The 25,136-nt window shown below is 42.4% G+C and overlaps 1 protein-coding gene across 9 annotated transcripts in view, besides 1 other annotated feature; it reads right to left on the bottom strand.

The window, feature by feature from the left end:
* Positions 1-25,136, bottom strand: part of CDH13 (cadherin 13) — a 1,173,672-nt gene that overhangs the window by 681,239 nt on the left and 467,297 nt on the right. The gene's annotated exons all lie outside the window — the stretch shown is intronic.
* Positions 4,152-4,754: an enhancer, noted in NCBI's record as "NANOG hESC enhancer chr16:83148253-83148855 (GRCh37/hg19 assembly coordinates)". NCBI's record gives its function as "activates a minimal SCP1, AML or CMV promoter by ChIP-STARR-seq in naive H9 embryonic stem cells {active_cell/tissue: H9 hESC(naive)}" and the evidence as "EXISTENCE:reporter gene assay evidence [ECO:0000049][PMID:30033119]".

Below are 25,136 nucleotides of genomic sequence, written 5' to 3'. Positions count from 1 at the left end.
ACGTGAAGCAGAGATTTCTAGGGGACATGAGGAATTGCATTCAGGAGGGAGACAAATGTCACAATCACTCATATACAAGAGTAGCTGCAAGACATGGAGACAATGGCACAACCCAGATTATGGGAAGAGGGAAAAGGGAAAAGGGAGGAACGTAACCATCTGATGAGTTTCAGCAAAGGCCACAGAAAGTTTAGTCAGCGTAGCAGAAAAACCAGAAGCACAGAGAGGAGAATTCCAAAAAGGAACAGTGCACAGCCACGTTACACAAGGCAGAGGTCTCCTCCAAAATCACGGAGGCTGCTAGGCTTGACCATGAACAGATGACGGCTGAATTTAGAAAGAGCAGCTTTTGGTGTGTGCTAGGCGATTACATGGACAGTGAGGACTCTGGCATAGAAGAAAAGGAGAGCTATGGAAAGAAGTTCTTCAGTTAAATGGGAGACAAGGAATGGGGCTGACCTTGAGGAAGAAGGGGTCAGAGGAAAGAAAGCACAGTGGTGAAGAAAGAAACACAGAATGAATGAAGATGCAAGAGAGCAGAGGAGATGCCCACAGGAGGTGTGAGAGGAATCAGCAGTTACATCAGCCTCAGAGAAGAGGCCCAATACTGCTCCCCTCGAGACAGGACACAGAGGGGTTGAAGGAAATTTTCTCATCTGTAAAGGAGGATAATGTGCCCGTCCTCTAGGTTATGAGAATGAAATGAGAAGCTGCATGTGAAAGTGGTCTGCACTCTCTAAAGAACTGCAGAAACGGTAGAAAAATGAAGGATGAGTCTTATTAACACCAGGACGGAGGAAGTGAGAAAATGAGGGTGAGCCACTCAGTCTGTATCAGGAGTGAGTAATTCGGCTGTGGATGGCCTAAGGCCAGATCTGAAACACAGACACATGTAGACACGCAGCCCCTTCCAGCTTTCCAGATTTACTAGACGCGTGCAGATGTCAAATGTTCTCTGTGACATCAAATGCACACACTTATGCACATGCGGGTTTACACACACACCAGAATCCATCTGATAGACACACATACACACACACTCACGAGCAGATGTACATGCAACAGACATGCATCAGCTGCCTAGACCCACGGACATATGCCACACGTCTTCGCACTTCCAGTGTGCTGAACACAATCCCCTCAGTCACAGGAACAGACGTAGGCACGCAGAGGTGTGCAGAGGAGAGTGAGGTTCTGGGGCCGCCACCAACACCAGACCATGTGTGACTTGTGGGATTCCCCCCACAGCAGTCTCCGGACAGTGATCCGCAGCATCTTTAGCCTAGGTCATCCGAGGCCTGCTGCAGCCTCATCCAGCCTTGCTTCCATCACAGGGGCAGTGTTGTGTCTTCAGGGAGCCTCACGCATGCTGGATTCTATTAGAGGAGGACTGTCATCCCTACACAAAGATCTCCGGTTTCATGCAGCTAAGCAAGGTCTTCATCTTCCTGTCTTAGGGCATTTGAGGTTAAAACCTCATTTGCTTTCCTCCCTGTTTCCCAATCTCAGGGGAAGCAAGTATCACGCTGTCTGGAAGCACCACAACACTCGCCCCAAAGAACACATATCAGAAATAAAGGGGAGACCCCTGAAACAGTGAGGGGCAGGGGAGGGGTTGAGGGTGGGAAGGGAGGGTGGAGGCCCAGGGAAACAGGAAGGCAGGAAGAGAAAAAGAACGTGAGAAGGAGCGAGAGAATAGATTCATATTAACTAAGTCATTCATTCATTCTTTCATTCATTTCTTCAAAACGTATCAACCAAGCCCTTTCTCTCTGCCAGGTATAATTCTAGGCATCTCGGATGGTGCAGTGCCTAAAAGAAGCAAGTGCCCTCATGAAGCTTCAATTGTAGAGAGAGGGGGCAAACCACAGAAAGGGAAAGAGAACACATATGGCTCAAGAGAAAAAAGATCAGCAGGGAGGAGGGCTGGAAGTGCTCAGGGGGAGAGGGTGCTGATGTTTTAGACAGGGAGGCAAGAAGCGGTCCACCGAGGAGATGGCAGTGGAAGATGGAGGAAGAATGGGCCAAGGGGGCAGGAGGAGGAGGCACTGCCAGCAGCAGAAGCCTACCGGGCATGGCGGAGCTTCAGTGTGGCAGCTGCTGGCGTGGGCAAGGTGAGCGCTGTGAGGTGAAGGAGACAGTCTGGACCTGGTGAAGGGAAGTCAGACCCTGGAGAGGCACGTAGGCCATGGAGAGGGCCCTGGCTTTTACTCCGCATGAGGAGTGAGCCCTGGAAGGGTTTTGAGCTGAGGAGTCCAGTTGCAATAAAACAGATCATAGCTGCTTTGTGGAGAATAGACTCAAAGGGATAAAAGTAAATAAATTAGTTGGATTTCCTCCTTCTCCCAGGTCTGTCGTAAGATAACAAGCTACATTCACTGTAGCTCAGCGCTCATCGTCCTACGATGATTTGCCCGTCCTCTAGGTTATCAGAACGAAATGAGAAGCTGCATGTGAAAGTGGTCTGCACTCCCTGAAGAACCTACATTGTCCTGCAGTGAACACTCAGGCTCCTCCCACAATGCAAATCTGAGCATTTGATTTGTGGAAAGGGAGAGTTGGAGTCAATTTCTCTGGCTGGAGCCCCTCTCGCCTGCAGTATTTTAAAAGTATTATTGAGGTATAATTTACGTACCATGAAATTCACCCGTTTTAAGTGTGTAACACAGTGATTGTTAGGAAATTTACAGAGTTGTGCAATCCTCACCACATATAATTTTAGAACATCTCCATCACCCTTAAATGAAACCTCATGCCCATTAGCAGTCATTCCCACTTTACCACAGCCACTGGCTGTATATGTTTGTCTTTTCTGGACATTTCATGAACAGAAACCATGCGATATGTCCCCACAATATTTCCATGAACTTCACCCTCTTTCATTGCTGATGTGAAGACTAAACAGAAGGGGCTGCAGCGCCATCCACTGACTGGTCAGGAGTGTGTCAAGGTCAGCCCCCTGGCTTCCAGGTGGGACCATGCTCAGGGGACATCCCTGCCCGTATCCCTGCTGCCCAGGAAGGCTGAGGCCTCCAGCTACCTGCAGTCAGCAACTCCTCCATCAGCCTCCTTCCCCGCCCCATCCCCCTGACCTCCCTCCCCGTGAGGTATGGATGCTGATAACACCTCCCCGGTTGCGTGGTCTATTTCCCGGGAGCCAACCTCTGACACCTGCCAAAGCATGGTGCTCAATGTCAAGACCAAATGGGGAAGGTGTCCCAAAAGCGAAGAAGTGCTCACTTTTGTTATGTCTGCCAGACTGGCATTCTACAGCTGGGACCGCACTCCAAGTTTTGTCTGTCCCTGCCCCTTTCCGTCACACCCAGCCAAGGGCATAAAAGCCTTCCCTAACAGCCAACTGAAGGAAGTGGTGAGATTTGAGAGGAATGATCCTACTTCCTGCACACCTGAACACAAGGCCAGACGCAGCTTGACCCGGGCTGGCCACCTGTTGGAGGATCTCCTAAATACGCTGACATTCAAACAGACAAACAGTGTCCAGATAATTTGTCCTCATTCCCTCTTTCTGCCCTCCTGGACCCTGGCTTTGCATAATAGAAAAAGTGATAGGGAGAAATAGTGAAAACCTCATAAACAAACCACAAACCTCTATCATCTTTGTTCCCTCTCCTACTTTCATAACTTCTGGGCAAACTTGTTTGCTAAGAGGAGATATTTTTAGCAAGGCAAAGCATTGCAGAAGCTGAAATACGTCTTCCAGGCAGGCAGGGAATTAAGGGAGAACAGTGAAAGGTGAGACTCATGCAGTCAGCCCAGCCCAATTATGGACAGTCTTGTAAGTCAAGGTAAGAAGACTGGATTTGCTTCCAAGGCAATAGCGAGCCTTTGCAGGCTTCACGCAAAGATGTGATGCTTCGGGTTTGAGTTCAAGGACCTGAGGGTTATTCCTTTGGAGAGTTTGAAGCTTATATTCTAGACTCAAGATGACATAACCTGGTTCCTTCTAACCTTTATAACCCTAAGATTTGCCTGGGATCCTAGTCCTGGATTCACCAAGTCTGCCATAGAAAATACTGCCATTTATTGAGTATTTATTACATGCCAGGCACAGTGCTAAACACATTGTATGATTATCTCACTTAATCCATTCAACGACTTGCTGGCAGAACCACCATGGCTGTTTTCCTGAAGTTAAAAGATGTAAAAGACTCATCCCAAGTCATTCAGCTCTTTGGCCTCTGTAACTCCAGAACCATCTGCTCTAAAAACACTTTGCTATAAACCTCCCCAGGGTTGCTGCTGGAGACTACCTTTTCAAGGAGGTCTGTGCTTGGCTGGAGAGGTCCTTTGATCCATTTATTCAGGTATAACTAGATAATCACAGCTTTAACATTTTCCCAGAGAGAACAAATCTCCAGCCCCTGGCTAAAAGGAGCTACCTATACTGCAGGGGGACAGCTTAATTGTCTGCAAATTTTTGCAAATGAATGGAACTGCAGAAGCCAATCTCCAATTTATTCCGTTCTTGCAGCTGATCTCATTGTGCTACAAAGTTGCTAGGAGGACAGTTCTGTGCTACTCAATTCACATTTTGTATGCAATCAAACACATGGTTCAGCCAGCTTTGAAGTACCTGGGGCTACATTTAAAGTTTGCTTCATTGCCTCCTGGGGCTGAAGTTTGCCTACTTAAGGAAGAAAAACCCAACAAATATCCAACTTTCTGCAGCAAATTTAAAAGGTTGGAGAGGCAAGATACAAGCTCCCTAAATTTCCATGTATCTATTTTCCCAATATTCTAGAGGCCACATATCAGCAAAACTAAGTCACCCACTGCAGATTTACTGTATAGAATTATGCTGATAATAAAATGTGGTGATATAGAAATTATCTGTTGTTAGTTCTTCATATCATCTCATGGCAGGGGGTGTGAGGGAAGTCATTTTAAAGGGTCAGAGAAGATGATGGTTGGTGGATTCATAGGATGGCATCAAGCCAATAAGCTGTTGTAAATTACACCACTCAGTGCTTATCAAGCACCCCCATACGGGAGAAATGGGTGCAAGTCATTGTTAGAAATGGGTGCAAGTCACTGTTGCCTTGAGTCTTCATGCATGCATCCTTTTCAGTAGGGACCGCCAGCAACATCAGAAACAACATCTCCAGTAATGAAAGTCACACATCAGAGGCGTTGGGGACGGCCAATCTCAAAATTAAAATAAAAAATGCATCGAAGGTCCAATAACTAATCATCTGAATCACCATCTAAGAATCATTACATTACATTCCTAACGTAATGAATATCTCAGTCATTTCTATTAGTAGATATGCTTCGGGTAGAAAATAAACTGCTTTGCCCAAATAAGGGAGTGGAGAACAGAAGTAACAGTTTTCATCAGGGGAGTCTGAAATTGGAGAGTTAACTCCAGATGTTCTCTCTTCAGCAGCCAGCGAGATCTTTTACAAACATTCTTCTCCCCGTCATTAAGCCTACAGGGTATATAGGCTTCCCCTTGCCAAAGGATGAAGCCTCTGGGTTTCCTAAGGCCAGGAAGATCCAGCAGGCTTGGATCCCGATGACCACTCTGACCTCAAGTGCTATCACTGTCCTCCTGGCTCTGCTTCTCAGCTGCACGCACCCTCCAATTGCAGGTGCTTGTCTGAGGGCTTCTCACCTTGTGACTTCCCTTCCCGTCCCTCCCCTCTTGTGCCTGGTTAACCCCCCACCCATCCTTCTACTCTCCACTCAAGCACCACTTCTAGGCTTCCTCGGTCTCTTTTGCTATGAGGATTGGCTGCACTTTGCCTTTTTCCCCTAGAGCCCTGTCTCAGCTTCTGATCACACGTTCATTCAGTGCCACTGTGTCGTCAGTGCCAGTCTTTCATGCAAGGCTCCCAGCTCCGTAAGGGCAGACTCTACATTTTCCTGGTCTGCTGCTACGCCCCCTGGTGCCTAGCACAAGACAGGCATAGAGCAGGTGTCTAAAAAGCACTTAAAATATTACTAAATAAAGCAATTATGAAATAAATATAGAGTTATTGTAAGAATTTGAGTAATCCAGGTAACGGAGTTAGCACAGTAGCTGGTGCAGAGTATTTGCTCCACGATTGTGTCTAATAAGTAAATGAGTAAGATGTTGGTGATTTCGCTTTGATTTTGTCTTTAATAGAGAAATCTTCTCTCTAATAAGAGTAAAGCTGCCACTCTCAGTTGGATTCTTTTATCCTGGGGTGCTCAATGCTTTGTGAAGTAACCAAATCTATAGAAAATTTTTAGAAAATTCTCCCTTTTGTTAAACCAGAATCTACCGCAGGTGTCTTGGTTTTGTTTTCTGGAGTTGCATGGAAGTCCTCCCTTTTTCCTTCGATAGCATCAGCTGCCTGAGGTCAATCTGGTGTTGGCTCACGCTCCCTGCTTTTGCGTTCCTTGTAACTTCTGCCATCCAAACACCACCAGTTCCTAGAATCATGTGTACCAGACATGAGTTCCACATGTTTTCCTCCTTTATAAGTGCTGTAATTTATAAGCCGGTCTTAAAGTTCCTCCTCAAATATCCTGAAATTATCCTAATAGCCAAATATACTGACTATAAAGTTGAGAAATATTTTTAAAAAATAAACTGCACGGTGCTCACGAAGGTCTGGTAAATAGATACCTCGATGCTAAAGAAAAAGGTACAGATATTTTACTGAAAAACAATGTAACTATGTTTGATAGCCTTTAAAGTGTTCATGCTTTTTGACTAAGTAATTTAACTACTAGGAACACAGTGCAGAGAAATAATCAAAATACACACACATAATACACTCAGGTATTTACTATAATATTATGGGGAAACTAACAAAAAGGAAGTAACCACATTACCCATCAAGAGAAAGAGATAAAGGGTTAATTACACCTCCTTTTTGGCTATTTCTTCTAACTCCTAACCCACAAACACCTAAAAACACATTAAGCCCTCCAAATAGAAAAATACCACCTGTGTATACACATACCGCACAGAAACACAAATTTCTAATCACCAAGAACTTCCTCTCTCTTTTTCTCTCTGTCTTTCTGTGTCTCTGTCTCTGTCTCCCTCTCAAAGCCTGTTTGCTTGCTTTAGGATAGATGGAGCCTGGATCTCTGAATGTCTTCACACAGTGCAGTTCCCTGCCAACGGGATTGGTTTCTTGTTAACTGCTGGTTTGCTAGAGTAATTAGCCTGCCCTAACTGATACATAGACCAAATACACAATGGTTGCATGTGTGAATAAATGAAAGAAAAATTAATTAATGCAGACACAAAGGTATAGAAATCAAGAAGGAAACCCAGCGGGAGATAAAATGAATAAGTAAAGCAAAGCAGAGAGTTCTAAAATTACTGTTTCCAAAAATGGAACAAAGCCCTAGAACTCTGGAAACTTTTTTCTCCAAAGTTTTACTAAAATTATGTGGGTATAAGAAAATTTGTGCACATATTGATATTTAAGGAATAAGAGTTTTTCACTTCCTTGATATAGTGGCTTAGATCTAAATATGTATTTAACATGCATGAGATCCAGGAAAACAAGACTGAATGCTTCATCAGGGAGAAGTTCATATAGTTTATTTTTATTTCTCTTTCTCTTTAGGTTTTTGATATTCCATAAAATGATGAAACTATGAAATAGAGAGGAGTTGGTTTTATGAATTCTTGTTGAAGCCAAGTTATGACGATCTATTGATATGATCCAGGTTTTTATGATGGCTACAGCAAGTGCTTCACTGCTTCTCATCTCAACTCCATTCTCCAATCCAATGCCTGAGTGCTCTGACCAAACATAAATGTAATTATGACACTCCCTTATGTTAAGCCCTTCATATGCTCTAGTGGAGACTCTGATTGTCCTAGCATACCATGATCTGCTCTCCTGAAGAGTCAGCAACTCTCTCCCATGTGATGTATGCTGCAACCTCATGATCGACTTGCAAATCCTCAGACACATCATGCTTTCACTCAGGATCCTTCTTTGCTTCCTCCATTTGGCAAACAAATCAATATTATTTATGCTTTAGTCTAAATGTCACCTCTCCCAGGAAGTCTTCCCTGACTCTCTACTTTAAGTGTAATCACTTATTTTCTCTCTAGATTCTCACTGCACATGGGACATTCTTCTATCATGGCACTATCCAATGATATTATATCAATAGAAATTAGGGATTTTTTTTACTCTACTCCTCCCAAGACCATAAGCACATTGAAGGCAAATTTTATTCCTTGCCATTTCTATTTTTTTCTTTTTTTTTTGAGACGGAGTCCCGCTCTGTCGCCCAGGCTGGAGTGCAGTGGCGTCATCTCGGCTCACTGCAAGCTCCGCCTCCCGGGTTCACGCCATTCTCCTGCCTCAGCCTCCCGAGTAGCTGGGACTACAGGCACCCGACACCACGCCCGGCTAATTTTTTTTTTTTTTTTTTTTGCAACAACCTAATACATACATTTAGGGATTAATTTATCCAGCCAACAGATATTTATTGACCATTTTCCACGGACCAGGCATTGTGGTGGTTGCTGAGTAACAAGAAAACAGGAAAAGTCCAAGTCTAACCCAAGGTCCCAGGGTTTTGGGGGTATGCTCCAGGGTCCCAAGGTTTTGGGGTATGCACTGTGAAGAAGTAGCCCCTTGTAACTGTCACACCTTGGTTTTTTTTGTTTCAAAAATTTCAGAAAGAAGCCCGACCCTGGCAAAACAAAAGCTGGTTGGATCCAGAGATGTCTGAGTTGGAAATGTACTTCGGTTATCTATCTGTATTACCATACTACTAACCAGGCCCAGGGAGGAGCTTATTCACCACTGCCTATACATGAGTGAGTAATGTATAGACAGTAAGTATGTACAAGTATGTAGCAGCATGATCGGTGACTGAGCATGTGCTGCCTTCACTACACCTCTACATACAGTGACTCAGCTCGCCAGCCCAGTAAAAGCCCTGTTTTCATTTGTGTTCTGGGAGGCACCCCTTCGGGAACTTTCCCCAGTGCTCTTCCGCATTGCAAGGCATAAAATCCCTTGTTAAATCCTCCTTGGTTGTGGTCACTGGATTGTCACCTACCAAGTGACCAAAACCAGCTGTTGTGTGGTTAACACAAGCTACCCTGTAGCTTTTCATTTTGAAAGACAGACATGCCAATTAAACATCGTAAGTGACTCTTGAGTATTTTAAAGAAGCAGCAGTTGATGGAGTGATCAGAACGTGAGATCTGCAAGTTTCTGTACAGTTGGGCCATCCTGAAAACACATTTACTTAAACAGACTTTGTTTTCTGCTACTAGTGAGACTTAATCCAGCTCTATATTTGAAAAGTTGAACCTAAAAATGAAACAGCAACAGAAAATAACCCCACATATTCTACCATTTGCTCTAAAATGTCAACTTCCCCACGTTTGAACCGCTAGTTAAAAAATAAAACAAAAACATACGCTTTGGATGAAAATTTGCCAAACCACACTTCCAAGATGCAATTGCCTCTGAAATATTTCACGAATCTAGCAGGAGCAATAACAACACAAATCAAGACTTGCTAGTTTTACTGGAGGTGAAAAATGTTTTAAACATGTTTAGATTCTTTAGTCGGAAGCCCGTTCAACCACATGTGATGGTGATGAGAATATAATGGATACAGTTTCCCTCTATCTGCTCTGGCACTGATAAAATATTCATGTTCAATAGCTACTTGTGACCAGCTGGAGGCATCTTGCAGCGCTCTACAGGTGGGGCTTGTTTTTCTAATACACATATGTACTCCTGCCTCCACAGCTGTGTTAATTTGCGCATGTATTCCAGATGTGAGCACACGTGATCCAGGTATCATGCTTTCCTCATCTGCCTGAGCTCATAAATGTCTGGCTGGCCCCTGTTAGAAAACCCGCACTTGGAAAAAGAATTATTTTCAATTCAGTGGGTATTTATTAGGGGTTTGACACATACCTTCCCTGTGGCACTGTCACCATAAATGATACATGACTATCCACAGGCACCTAAAACTCAACATATCCTAAACTTAACTGAAAATCCGGCCCTTCCCACTTACTCCTTCCAAAGCCATGGGGTTTCCTGCATCCCTTTTCTCAGCAGTTGAGGGGTTAGACACTCACATCGTATGAAAGGCTTCTTTGGTTCCCACCATACTGCACTCACGAGCGGTTGCCAAGTCCTACAGATTCCACCTGGGAAAATTTCCCAGGAATCCATCCCTTCCCTCTTTATGACCACATTCCCTGCTATGATCCTCATCTTTTCCCTGCTTTACTGTAGGCCACCTGAGGGATCCTCGTGACTTCTGGTTTCCTTTTTGTACATGAGCCCACTGGATAGTAGAATCAGGACAACCAGGACCTCAATACTCTTAGTCTGTGCTCCCCAGGAGCAGACCCTAAGATTGAGGATTTAACAGCAAGTACTTTATTGGTGGGTCATCCCAGGAAATGTGGGCAGGAGAATGAGGAAGTGAGGCAGGGAGGGGAAGGGAGCTGATGAGGGAAGCATTAACAAGTACATTCCCACTGGAGAATTCCAGGAGGCAGGGCAGAACCTGTGACTCGGAAGGGCAAGGGAGCTGGGGGATTTATATCCCAGCTCCCATCAGTCATTTACTGAGGACTCTCCTAGGGATGGGTACACATTCTCTAGGCTTGTGATAAGGCAAATAAATGCAGAGACTGGCCTGATGTGTTCTAACTGCAAAGCCTAAGTGATACAGACAAGAGACAGCCAAGGGTCCCCAGCAAAACCCTGCCTTCGAGCCTAAAATAGCCTGAAGGCTGAAAAACTGGACTGCTGGTCCTGGATGAAGCCCACCCTTTCCCGACCAACTCTTTCTATATAATGCCCACCTGTGCACTGGGAGGATGGGGTGGAGCCTAAGGAAGTTTGTGCCCTTTGCAGTGGGGAGGAGCCTGGCCTCTCTTGTTTCTGTGGTAACCTGGGATTCAATCTATGAGGCGGGAGACCTGCAAGCAGGACCCTTTCTCGCTTTGCTGAGAGTTATTATTCCTTTTTGTCCAATAACTTCTGTTTCTCACCCTTTTATGTGGCTGTGAGCCCAGTCTTTCCTGGTTGTTTGACAAGAACTCAGTTTTAGCTGAACTAAGGGGAAAGTTCTGCAACACAAACATTTACAGGTGGGGCATGGACAGAGTTGGCTTTTCCACCTAAGGGTCCTTCCTCTGTGGTCCTTTGCCTCCTCCATTGCCACAAGCACGGTGTATAGTGGAGATGCATCATGCGGATACTTCACAACCATGGCCTTAACTACATACCCGGGGAATGAAGGAAGAGAAAGAGATAAAAAGAAAAAGAGGGGCTGGGCGCGGTGGCTCATGTCTGTAATCCCAGCACTTTGGGAGGCCAAGGTGGGTGGATCACGAGGTCAGGGAGTCAAGACCAGCCTGTCCAAGATGGTGAAACCCCGTCTCTACTAAAAATACAAAAATTAGCTGGGTGGCTGTGGTGGCAGGCACCTGTAATTCCTGCTAATCGGGAGGCTGAGGCAGGGAATTGCTTGAATCCAGCAGGCGGATGTTGCAGTGAGCCGAGATCACACCAATGCACTCCAGCCTGGGCAACAGAGCGAGATGCCGTCTCAAGAAAAGAAAAGCAAAAGGAAAAGAAAAGAAAAAAGAAAAGAAAAGAGGAGGGACAAAGAGTCAGAGGAATGAATTATGTGATTGTAAAAAAAAAAAAAAAACCCACCTAAAATTCCACTCACTACGCAAATGCTCCAGAATCAATACACAGAGAGAAAGAGAATTCAGCTGTCTCTTCACCTGTTTTCAGTTCCTCAGCCTCTCATACTGTGAATGCTCATTGCACTGAAGAGGACTCTAGTGTGTAAACATAGGAGTTTCCCTATTTTTCAGATGAAACCCTCCTAAATGCAAACTACTTCCTCTGGTGTCCAGTGGAGAAACAGAACTTGTCCTGTACTGGAAAGAAGGCTGCATTGGTCTACCTGGAAGATAGTGTGTCAATCTCCAAGGTGGATTTTTTTCTCAAAAATTTAATTCATTTAGTCAACAAGTATTTATTGAGCACCTATTATGTACCAAACTATTTATACTAGCTGAGGAGAGAATCACCACCACCACCACCACCACAACCACCACCAACCCCAACGAACTCTTTTTCAAAATTTCCCCATAGGGGTCCCTTTTCCTGGTTTCTCTGGCCAGAAGGTTGGAAATTCAACGGGACTCTTAGCTACCTGCCTGGCCAACCCCCTGCAGTATGACTAGAACCCAGTCCCAAGGCAAAGCCTAAGAAGAAAAAAATAACCTAATGTAGGAAACTCTTCTCAGTGAAATCACCTCTCCAAGTTTTGACTCTCTTCAATCCACCTACCCAACTGCTTTGGTTTGCTCTTCACATTTTTCAAATGTGTGTGTGTGTCTGTCTGTCTGTGTGTGGGGTGTGCATGCACTTGAGTGTGTGTCTGCCCAGAGTTTTAGCTTAGCATTCGGTAGGAGGGATGCACTATATGTTGGGCTCATACTGCCACACCAGATTATACTTTTTTAAAAAAAAAATCATCCACATAGAATAGGTTCATCAGAGAAACTCCAAAAAATATATTAAAACACAGAAGAAAAGTAAATTTATTTACCATCCTGTATCAGACAAACAGAATAGCATTTTAGTGGACTTCCTTCCAGGTTGTAATATACTTTTTGTTTAAGTTGAAGTGGAAGGGTGTGAGCAGTTTTGTATTTTGGTTTTTGAACCTAATGATACTTCCCAAGTTTTCTTTCCTCCCACGTCAAAGATTCTGTAAACATAATTTTAGTTGCGGCACAATACATCTTGTGGATGTATCAACATGTATTAAATCATTCCCTTGATATGCTTGTTTTTTTGTTTTGTATTGTTTTGTTTTGTTTTGTTTGAGGTGGAGTCTCGCCTTGTCGCCCAGGCTGGAGTGCAATGGCGTGATCTCGGCCCACCGCAACCTCTGCTTCCTGGATTCTAGTTATTCTCCTGCCTCAGCCTCCCAGGTAGCTGGGATTACAGGCACATGCCACCATGCCCAGCTAATTTTTTTTGTATCTTTAGTAGAGACAGGGTTTCACAACGTTGGCCAGGCTCGTCTCGAACTCCTGACCTCATGATCCACTTGCCTTGGCCTCCCAAAGTGCTGGGATTACAGGCATGAGCCATGGTGCCTGGCCTGCTTGTATGTTAAGTGCTTCCAATTGTTTCTTACTATAAATGAAAGGCAAATAAAGTGACGTTGTAGGTAGAGTTTCATTTGCTTTTGCTTGTTTTTCTGTAATGAGAATTCCTTAGAATAGATTAGCAAAAGAGGTGTTACTGGATCAAAGGTTATGAACATTTTAAAAGTCCTGTAACATATTGACAAATAACCCACCAGTGGAATAAAATCATCACTGGAAACAAATTTAATCTTGTGAAGGCGGACATTGTTCCAACACATTTCCTTGATCACAACTTTTGTGGTCCCAACCACATCTGTGTTGCCCAAACATGCCACACTGTCTCATGACTTCATGCCTTCATTGTGTCGTTTCTCTAACTGGGATACCATCTTCGCTGACTCACTACTTTCTCCCTCCTGGTCTTCACTACCTGCCTGATAACACAGATACACACAGACATACACACACATGACAATGGCTGCCTGTTGTACATTATGTGCGTCATTCTTCAGTACAGGTTAGATGATGATTTGGGGGTGGTTTCTATCAATTTCTGGTTTCATCTGCCAGGTCCCATTACCATGCAAATGCAGGCTTTATTTTTTTTTTAACTTTAATAAGTAGTATCTATTTAATTCATGCCATCTAATATCACATGGCAACCTCTTTTTTCTTTTTCCCAAAGAAGTTTTTGGAGTTTTCCTTTCCTGAGGGTGGCCCCAGAGAAGAGAAAAACCTTGGGGTTTTACCTAACACCTGAGGCATTTACTCATCGGATTGGAAGGGACACTGTTCTCCTCTCCCTGGCAGCCGAATTGCCTCATAAACTGGCAGAAGGCAGTGCTGGCTGTTGATGTGGATGGTGCAGCCACCCTGCGCTCAGCCTCGACTTCACATGTGGTGGTTCCATGGGAGATGCAGATGATGGTGGATGTCACTGGATTATTCCAGGACAGACTCAGAGAAAAACAGCGTTTGACTTTGTATCAAATACAAAACCAGGGGTCTCTTTGCTTTTTCATTCTTAGGAAAACTCAGCTCCTCAGGTAGAATCTTACGGTGATCCTGGGGAAAGCAGGCCCCAGATTGAGTTTTCCAAAAAGGGTGAAATCGATCCTCCTCTTAAAATAGCTAATGCATGCTGGGCTTCATATCTAGGTGATGGGTTGACGGGTGCAGCAAACCGCCATGGCACACGTTTACCTATGTAACAAACCTGCACATCCTGTGCGTGTACCCCGGAACTTAAAAGTTAAAAAAAGGAATGCCAAAAGAGAGAGAGAAAAAAGAATGGCACGTTCCTTTCTCAGAGAAAATGAGAGAGGGAGAAGATGCAGAGCACTGCCCTTGTATTTACGAAAAGGAAGCACTCATTGCCAGAACTCGATCGATTTGGTCCATTTTTCAGATCCTTATTTCTCCTGGTTTTATCTACATGGCTTGTTTTTGTTCGTTAGCTTCATAATGTTATGGCTGCAAACTCTAAAATTAGAAAGCTGTCTCCCACACTAACCACCAAAGTCAATTGCCCCCTTTGTTCAACCAATTCTTAAATATCTCCTACGACTGAAATTCAACATTATTCGGCTTGGGGAGTTATTCACAATATTTAACCTAAATTACACTATTTCCCCCGCCCACCCCCGCCACCGCCTGGTACATTTCTTCTTTCACTGAAGCCTTCCCCAAACCTCAAGTACTATTCTTCTTCCTTTTTTGCTAAAGACATTTTAATTAAAACACTAGGGTTGCCTTAACCTACTTAAACAATAATTTCTCTTTTATGTGGCTCTCTTTAGTGAAGTCCCAAATCAGCAAAGTGTCTTTCATTGGCCTCTCTCTTCTCTCTGCTCTGTGTTTTTTGTCGCATTACAGAGCCTCACATTTTCATTCAGCCCCAACCTCTATTCCACACCATGCAGTTTACATTAATAAATTCTTCACAATAATGTATGCGATGTCTCACGTCTCCCCACGTCATTGATTACTGTGTTCTTTGAAGGTTCCAAGGTGTGTCAGATCCACCAGGAAAAACAAGGAAAAGTTCCACATTTGATATTCTCCCACATCTGAGGTTTCCCTGGGCCCAGTGGTTTTGATGTTAGGATGGTAAAACAACAACAGCTTTAAAAAGAGAAGAGAGTGTTATAAATATTCAATGGTCGTGTAATACTCATTCTTCTTTAAAAGCCAGAAGGATCAGTCTCCTTCTTCAAAGTCTGCATTGGCAAATACAGCAACTATTTTATAATGAAACTCTGAAAAACTATTATGGGACCAAGAGAAAATTGTCAGCATACCAGCTATTCTGTGAACTTGCCCCACAGGAAAGGAGTAATTTTTTATTTCAAATTTTTTGCAAATACTTCACACTGAACTCTTTGACTGTTTTACAAGTAGGAAAATTTTTTTAAACATCAATGTGTTCTAGAAAATGACAGAGCACTTACTGTGTGCATTTTTTGAGCACTTACTGTGAATTAGGCACTAAGTCTTGCAAACATTTTCCCCCTTTGATACACAATTTCTGTGATGTATCCCATACTACAGATGAGGAAAGTGAGGCACAGGAAGGTTAAACACTCTGCTCAAGGACATACGTAATTCTGGTAAGTTAGAGAAGCCAGCATTTGAACACAGGCCATTCCGCTCAGAGCCTGGACCATCACCCACTCTACCTCTTATCTCCTGCATGTGCTGTCTTTCCACATTAAAAGTTTAATTAGCCGGGCACGGTGGCTCATGCCTGTAATCTCAGTACTTTGGGAGGCCGAGGTGGGTGGATCACTTGAGGTCAGGAGTTCGACACCAGCCTGGCCAACATGGTGAAACCCCATCTCTACTAAAAATATAAAAATCAGCCGGGCGTGGTGGCACGTGCCTGTAGTCCCAGCTACTCAGTAGGCTGAGGCAGGAGAATTGCTTGAACCTGGAGGCACTGGTTGCAGTGAGAGCTGAGTTCACGCCACAGCACTTCATCCCGGGCAACAGAGCCAGACTGTCTCAAAAAAAAAAAAAAAAAAAAAGTTCAGTTAACGCCTGTAATCTCAGTACTTTGGGAGGTTGAGGTGGGTGGATCACTTGAGATCAGGAGTTTGAGACCAGCCTAGCCAACATGGTGGAACCCCATCTCTACTAAAGATACAAAAATTAGCTGGGCGTGGTGGCACACTCCTGTAATCCCAGCTACTTCGGAAGCTGAGGCAGGAAAATTGTTTGAACCAGGGAGGCAGAGGCTGCAGTGAGCTGAGATTGTGCCACTGCACTCCAACCTGGGTGACAGAGCAGGACTCCACCTCAAAAAAAAAAAAAAAAAAAAAAGAAAAAGAAAAAAAAAAAGAAAAAGAAAAAAAAAAAAGAAAGTTTAATTAGCAAAGGAATTTTATTCACTGTCTCTTCCAGTTCAGCCTACATGTATCACATTTACCCTTTTCTGGTTAATGACCTCCATCTTCAAAATACATTCACAATATAACTATTTCTTACCCTCTTACCCTTATCCAATTCCCACCACCTTGCTCCAAGCCAAAATCATCTTTTCCTGGATCAAAACACAATCCTCCTAACTGCTCCACATCTCCTGACTATACCTCTACATCCTCTTCCTCACCACCCTCCCCCAGGGTGGCCAGAGCGGTCCTGTTGAAACGTGAACTGGGTGATGTCCCTCCTCTGCTTCGTAGCTTCCAGTGCGATCTCCTAGCACCTGGAGTGAAGCCAGTGTCCTTGTTCCGGGTTACAGTGTGTCATGTAATCTCATGTCATCTGCACTCTGCCCCTGTTACTGCAAGCTCCCCTGACTCACTCCAGCTCAGTCCAGGCACACTGGCATCCTGGAGCACACCAGACCCACCCCCACTTCAGAGCCTGCAGATTTGCTGGTCTCCCTGCCTGGGTATCTCTTCCGCCAGATAGCCACAGAATTGCTGTATTAGTTTCCAATGGCTGCTATAACAAGTCATAACAAACTCAGCGACTTAAAACAACACACATTTATTATCTTACATTTCTGGGGTCGAATGTCCCAAACAGACCTTCCTGTGCTAAAATCAAGGTGTCATCAGAACTGTGTTCCTTCTGGAAGATGTACACCAGAAGGTATCCTTGCCTTCTCCAACTGTTAAAGGCTGCCTGCATTCCTTGGCTCATGGACCCTTCCTTCATCTTCAAAGCCAGGAGCGTAGCATCTTCAAATCCCTTTCTGGCTCTGACACATTACCTCCCTCTCATAAGGACCCTGGTGATAACATTGGACCCATCAACATAATCCAAAATCCTTAACTTGAATCACATTTGCAAAGTCTATTTGGCCATATAAGGTAACACATTCACAGGTTCCAAGGAGTAGAATGTGAACAATCCTGGGGCCTTGGTTCTGTCTTCCACAGCAGTTCTTTCACTTTCCTCAGACCTTTCCTCACAAGTCACCTACTCCATGAGCCCTGTCCTGGCCACTCTACCCACTATTTCCTTATTGAGATGAAATCTCACTCTCTCTCCCAGGCTGGAGTGCAGGGGCACGATCTCGGCTTACTGCAACCTCTGCCTCCCAGGTTCAATTGATTATCCTTCCTCAGCCTCCTCAGTAGCTGGGATGACATGCATGCAAAACGACACCCAGCTAATTTTTGTATTTTTAGTAGAGATGGGGTTTGGCCATGTTAGCCAGGCTGGTCTCGAACTCCTGACCTCATGTGATTCCACCCACCTCGGTCTCCCAAAGTGCTGGGCTTAGAGGCATTAGCCACCACGCCCAGCCTCTACCCAGTATTTCTAAAACATCCTTCAAACTTCATTTCCCCTCCTGTGCTTTATTTTACTCTTTTTTTTTTTGGCAATATCACAATCTAACATACTAAATATATACATTACTATATATAATAGACATAGAGTATATAAGCATATATATGGTGTTCTATATATACTACACATATATAGTATATAAACATGTATACAATACACTATATATAATACACATAAAGTATATATCTGTATATGTATATGTATACATAAGTATATATACTTATAGTATATAGTATATGTGCATGTATGTATATATACATACCTCTATATACTTTTCTATTAAGAAGAGACAAATGATATATAAATATATATTATAAATGTAAGCCCCATAAATGCAGGGATTTTTGTCAGTTTTCCACAGCTGTACCCCTGTGCCTAGACCAGTGTCTGGCATATAGTAGGTGCTCAATCAATATTTGACAAATAATTTTTGTCCTTTACCATGAACTGAAATATAAAGGATCTGAATCATATAGGAAATGAAAAATGAGAAAGAATTCAATCATCCATGATTCACTGAGTATCTATTATGCAACTTTCACTAGTTAAATGATGTGTGAAATACAAAAAGCCTCCATTTATGGTGGTAAAGGTTGTACGCTGTACAAAAGTCCCTGCAGGAAGTGGCTGAGGGCTGAAATTTACCCTGTGTTCTGCAACCACACACCCATGGGTGCTGCAAGTGTATACCCTAAGGGGATGGCTGTTTGTAACTTGCACGAACATATGGTCAAGTCTATCCTACCTGGCTTGAGCTAACCCAAAATTCTTATGCCAGTGGATCATTAATGCTTTTTAGATACAGCAAGAATAGGTTATGAAGTTGAGAAGAACTGAAAAGAGGTAGACAAAGACAGTTTCAGACATGGGAAATGGTGATGAGGACTACAGGACCATTGTTTTCCACCTAGGAGCACAAATAGAGTTCAGCTTCTGCCCGCTACAGAAATATGTCTTGGACTGTAAGTTGGAGAATCTTGATTTCTATCTTGTCTCTAAACCAATGCTGCATGAAATGAAAAAATTCACCACCCTTCTCTGAGCATCAGTTTCCTCTCTTCTGAAATGGGTGAGATAATCCTGCCCACACAGTGAAATTTGACCTCGGTATCCAAAATATATGGTATCCCCAACACTTCCTATTTCCCTTCTGTGCTTTATTTGTATCTATGTCCCTTGTTTTCATCTATCATACCACATATTTTACTTATTTATATTATTTTTGTTTGTCTCCCCCACCCCCATACATAAGATCCATGAGGCAGGGATTTAATTTTTATCTTTCTTATTTACCTTTCTAACCCTAGTAAACCAGAACAGTCCTTGGCACCTGGTGTGTCCTCAGACAGCACACGAATTGAATGAGTGATGAGTTAATCTAGTTGAAAAGTCTAAATGAGCCTATGTGGAGCAATGAAACCCATCGAGATGCTAAATTGTGTTTACTGACTGTTAGCAGAAACAGAGATTGTGACTGCATGATCAGGGCAGTAGGCTGCATGCTAACTTGGCTTTGTAGGACAGTGTGGGTGCTTTGAATGAACCAAGTGGGAACTCGCAGGCAGAAGAAAGCATAAAACAGCAGCGATAACAGTACCACCTCCTCACTCTTACTGAGTGCTCTCCCGCGTCTGGCGCTATGCTGAGCACTTTTCAAATGAATTATCTCATTTAATACTCAAAACAGCCTTTTGGTTTTATTATTAGCTTCATGATGCAAATGAAGAAACTGAGACACAGGTAGGTAAAGTAATTGGCAAAGAATGGTTCAAAGTTAAAAGAAACGAGATTGAAAGAGTGGAATCATGGGCTGTTATGTTAAGGATTAGAAGTAATATGTAGAGGCCCGGCACGGTGGCTCACACCTATAATCCCAGCACTTTGGGAGGCTGAGTTAGGTAGATCACATGAGGTTAGGACTTCGAGACCAGCCTGGCCAACATGGCAAAACCCTGTCTCTACTAAAAATGCAAAAATTAGCCAGGCATGGTGCCAGGTGCCTGTAATCCCAGCTACTCTGGAGGCTGAGGCAGGAGAATCACTTGAACCCAGGAGGCGGAGGCTGCAATGAGCTGAGATTGCACCGTTGCACTCCAGCCTGGGTGACAAGAGTGAAACTCCATCTTAAAAAAAATGTGTAAAATGAAGATTATCATACTACCTACATCATAGAATTGTTTTTAGTGTAAAATGTGTGTGTGTACATTTATGTAATAGTTAACATTTAAAGAGCACCTACTTTGTGTAAACATACTTTGTATGAGATACTGTTCAAATATATATTCTAATATATGCAACATATTAAATATGTTAGAATAGGATCTTATATATCTTAGAAGTTAGATCTTATATGTATGAACACTATCTTTATGTATGTGTGTGTGGGTGTGTATGTGCATATATATGTATATGTGTATGTATACATACACACCCACACACATAGGTATATATAGCAATCTTCAAGTGTTAGCTATTATTTTTCTTTTAAAGTGCATTCTGTCATGACATTTGTCCTGTACCTGAAGAGATTGTTATTATCAGGCTCAAATAAGGAACAACCAGTCTCACAATTAACCTTTTTTCCCAGCATTGACGTCTTATCTGTTTCAACCTTCCCTTGATTCTCCACTCAAAAATGTTTCTTATCATAATCAAATTGCTCAAAACCACTAATAAAAATAAATTCTTGAGAGCAGCTAGAGGGAAGAAGACACATGGCACACAGAGGAAAAAGAGAAGAATGACAGCAGATGTCTTGTTAGCAACAATGCAAGTCAGAAGATAATGGAGTGAACCGTTGAAATGCTCAAAGAAAAATAAAATTTGTCAACTCAGAATTCTGTATCCAGTGAAGATATCTCCCATTATTGAAAGCAAAAGTAAGACTTTTTCAGATGCACATACAAAAGGCGAAGGAATTCATCACCAGCAGAACCTCATTGTAAGAAATGTTCAATAGTCCTTCATCCAAACCAAAAATAATGTTGGATGGATATATGAATCTACACAAAGGAATGAAGAGCACAGAAAGTGGTGTATATGTGGAAAAATATGCCTTTTTCTATGTTTAGAAGGAAAATTGATTGTTTAAAGTAAAAAATAATAGCAATGTAATGTAGAGTTTACAACCTATGAGCAACTAAAAACCAGAGGAGCAGTAGTGCAAAGGCTGGGAAAGGAGAAAATGAAAGTGTTTTACTGTAAGGTTCTTATACCATATATGAAATGCTATAATATTATTTAACACGAACTGTGATAAGTTAAAGATGTATACTACAAATTCTAAAGCAACCACTAGGATGACAAAGAATATTTCTTGAGGCTACACTTTTCTGTTTGGTCTCAAAGATTATTTCCTCTTTGTTATAAGCCAGACCCTTCAGACGGTGCTCTCTCTTATCTGGACCATCCCAATAGTATCCTAACTTGCCTTCTTTCCTGCCCTGAAGTCTCATTCTCCTTCATTCCATCCAGATATGCTTCTTGACTAGGCATTATAAAATTTTTTTTTTCAAAAGTTACCTTTAAGCTAGTACAGAGTAGGTACTAGGTGGATATTTTTTGTAAGAAGGAATGAACAAATAAAATACTGTTTCTTCTTTGTGGAATGTGGTCTACTCTACCCTCTTAGCATGATATTAAAGGCTCTCTAAAATTGGAGCTGAGAAAACTTCTGTAATTTCCTTTTTGTACTGGAATCATCTACTTTAGATCAAATGCAACTAGTTGCTCTTTACGAACAAATTTTACATTTTCCTGCTTTTGTATATAGCATCTGTCTTACCTAGAGTGCACTTCCCACATAAACTCTAAAGATGCTGCCTCTTCACAGATGCCTTCCTTGGCTATCCCAGTCAGGCAAGCTGTGAAAGTTAGGAAGGAAGGAGTTGTCACCCAGGCATCCATATTGATTACTGGGGTATTGGCTGCACCAGTGAGATCATCCTTACAGCCTTCCTTGGTAACTCTGCTGCAATTATGCATGGTTCATTATTTTATAGACTTTGATCATATGCACACTGATTCTGTGACTTTACCAATTACAAAGTTTTATTTAAAAATAAAAATAGAAGACTAGTGTTATATTTGGCAGCACCCCATAATCTTGAGCTCTCTTAGGTCTTTTTAAGGAATACAAAGAACAAAAGTTATGAGGCAAGAGCAGCATTATAACAGATTAGAGACAATGTGAGATTATTTGGATTGCCAAGAATTCTTATCCTATGAGCTTCATAAGTTCTTAGGCATATACAGAAATGTTTCATATCAGTTAGACTCAATGCTTCCTTTTAATAATAAAAACAAAGGCAACCGAGTCTCCTCCTTTATGGTGATATCAAATTTTGTTGAGAAAAACTGAGTTTGAATGAGGTTGAGCAACTTGTCCACAGTACACAGAGAAAAGTGACAAGGGAGAGTGGTATTGCTTTGAGTCTCTATCAATATTTCTCCAGAGGTACACTCAATCTTGACATTATTCAAAGGACAGGACCAAGATATTTTTATTTTCAACCGTGCTCAGAAAAAAAATATTTTATGAGAATTAGTAAATATTTTAACATGACCCTAACTTTCAAAGGCAAGGACAATTTTTCCTTTAAACAAAAACTCAGATGTTAAACTCCAGGTATAAAAAAATCATCATTTTTAAGTGCAAACTGAACAATAGCATTCAATCTACTCTTGCGGTTGATCAGAAGTAAAAATGAAAATATTGCACATAATTACGACAGTATTGTTACATGGGCTACCTTGTTAGTCCCCTCCCAACATATAATTGCACTCAGTCCAAGGGAGTTAAACCCAAATCCGCTCACTTTGCATTGACACACGACTGGAAAGCGCAGCTTCTCATATTAAGAATTTAAATTTGCGTTCAGCAGAGATACTCAGTCCTGAGAATTGAAATCATGAGTCGTGGTGGCAATAAAATACTCAGGAGATGTGGTCATAGCCCAAGGATAATTTTTCTGTAATTGCACTTTCATTTTTGTGAGCAATCCTTTAGCTATGGTACAGAGAGGATACCTTCCATCTTGTATTTCAGTAGCTATTGGATAACTTTCCCAGGAACAGGGGAATTAAGATATGCAGGTCCCAGCTGCAGATCCTTGACTGAGCCTTCTCTCTGGGATAATGTCTGATATATTCCTATTTGGTTTCTGGGCTGCTCTCAGGTAGAGCTGCAGACTAATACTATATAGCTCATGATGGTCGGTTGCTGAACTCCTGAGACCTGATGATTAACTTTTACCAGATTCACAAGGACAAAGTCCACACATAGCCTGGTACGCAATGATAGCTGGTACAGGCTAATGCCCTTACAGAGTTGTACCTGTAACTCCACATATTTCCACCATTATTCACATACGGAGTTCTTGACCTGTTAAGTTCGGCACAAGGTGACTGCATGCTTCCCCACTGCATCACACCCTCTTCCTGGACCTTTGTCTTGTTGCTACCTCCTAAAGACATGTTCAACCTTTAAAAAATTGCTAAAAACTCTGCCTTCCGGTGAACTTGAACAGATCCCCTGAAATTGGCATTAATATTGCCTTTCTCTGTACTTACGAATATTGTTTTATGGGCTTCTCTCAGTGCATTTTATTCACTGCATGCCTCTATTGCCTTTAAGAAAAGACACATTCTGGAGTCTATGTGGTTCATTCCACAGTGAGAATCATAGAGTCTTAGGCAAAACATACTGCTCATTAAAAACTTCATGAACTTGATTTTTTACTACTATCCTCTGAATTCATGGTTCTGATTCAGTTAACTAGGTTGTACCGGTCACTTCAACTAACAAGTTAGTGCACCTGTGTTGAGCATCTACCATATGCCAAGGATTTTGGCGAGGTGTTCTGTACCCAAATACATAAGCTTGAAGAACTCACAGTCTATTGGGTTAGAAAAATCATAGAAAGATAACGTGATATTTGCATTATAACATAGTTATTAATGCCTTTGAGAGGATATACCAGTGTCCAAAAGCAGGGTGAGGATAGGTATGATTCATCCCATTTGGGAGAAGTACTTTATCACTGATGATGTTTACAAATTGCCAGCACAAGATGATAAAACCATATGGCATTTAGTAAGTTTTTTGTTGTTTTATTTATCTTTTTTTGTCCGTACCTGGAATGGATCATTACTACACCAGTACCATGTTGATATACCAGTGGACAGAATTATTGAGGTGAAAGTTTTGGGAACAGTGAGTGTTTTGGAGAAGGTATAAATGATTTTTACTATTTCTTCCAATTCCATGATGTCATGTTTGTAGCTTGGCATCAGCCACAGTGTGAGTATTTATACCACAGTAATTGGCAAACACCACAAATCAGGGTTATTTTATTTCTGTTCAGAAATCTTCTTATCAAGTTGACAATAAAGTTAATTTTGGGAGGAAGAGTGGGATTTTTCTAAACAAATAAAGAAGAAGAAATGCACTGCAGACTGCAGATACTGCTCTGATGATTAATCCTACAATAGGACCTCAAGCTCACACAAGGTGTACACAGGATGATGATGATCATCATCAAACCGGTTTTCAATAACTTACAGAGTTAATTGTGATTGAGGTCTCACTTATCTTAAAAAGTAGGTATCTATATAGCTAACAGTTTGGAAGCTATAACCATAGAGGAAAAAATTGCGTATGCCCACGCCTTGACAAGTCAGAAGGAAGTCACCAACTTTAAATTTAAACCACACTTTCAGGGGAAGACAGTTGTTACTGGTTATGAAATGCTACTTCAATGAAAATACAGGACGATGGGATTTGCTGCTCAGATCCCTTTATTTGGAACTGAAGCATTCATTCTTTCAGCCACTGGGAAGTTGGAGGCTGACAGCTATAAACTAAGAGGCCTTGCCTTCTGCTGAAGACAGCACCTCTCCCAAGATTATACTCCCTTCCTGAAATGAGCCTACATTCAATGACTAGTCAATGTGGAGGCATAAGACCTCAGCTCCTTGTCCTGAGTAAGGACAACACAGAAGGGTTCTCCTCATCTTAAAGCTCTCTGCAGGGTCAGTTGAGATCTCTGTTGTAAGCGTACCACAGCCCAACTTCTCTCTCTATCCAACCTTGCATCTTTCAGGCGTGAAAATAATGTGGGTTACTCCTGAGAACATTTCCCAAAGTTTCCCTCTTGTCAACCACCATGGGAGAGGCTTTCCCAGTAACCCCATTGCAATG

This window comes from Homo sapiens, chromosome 16, assembly GCF_000001405.40.
Source record: "Homo sapiens chromosome 16, GRCh38.p14 Primary Assembly".
NCBI lineage: Eukaryota > Metazoa > Chordata > Mammalia > Primates > Hominidae > Homo > Homo sapiens.
This window is presented reverse-complemented; position numbering and strand designations above follow the sequence as displayed.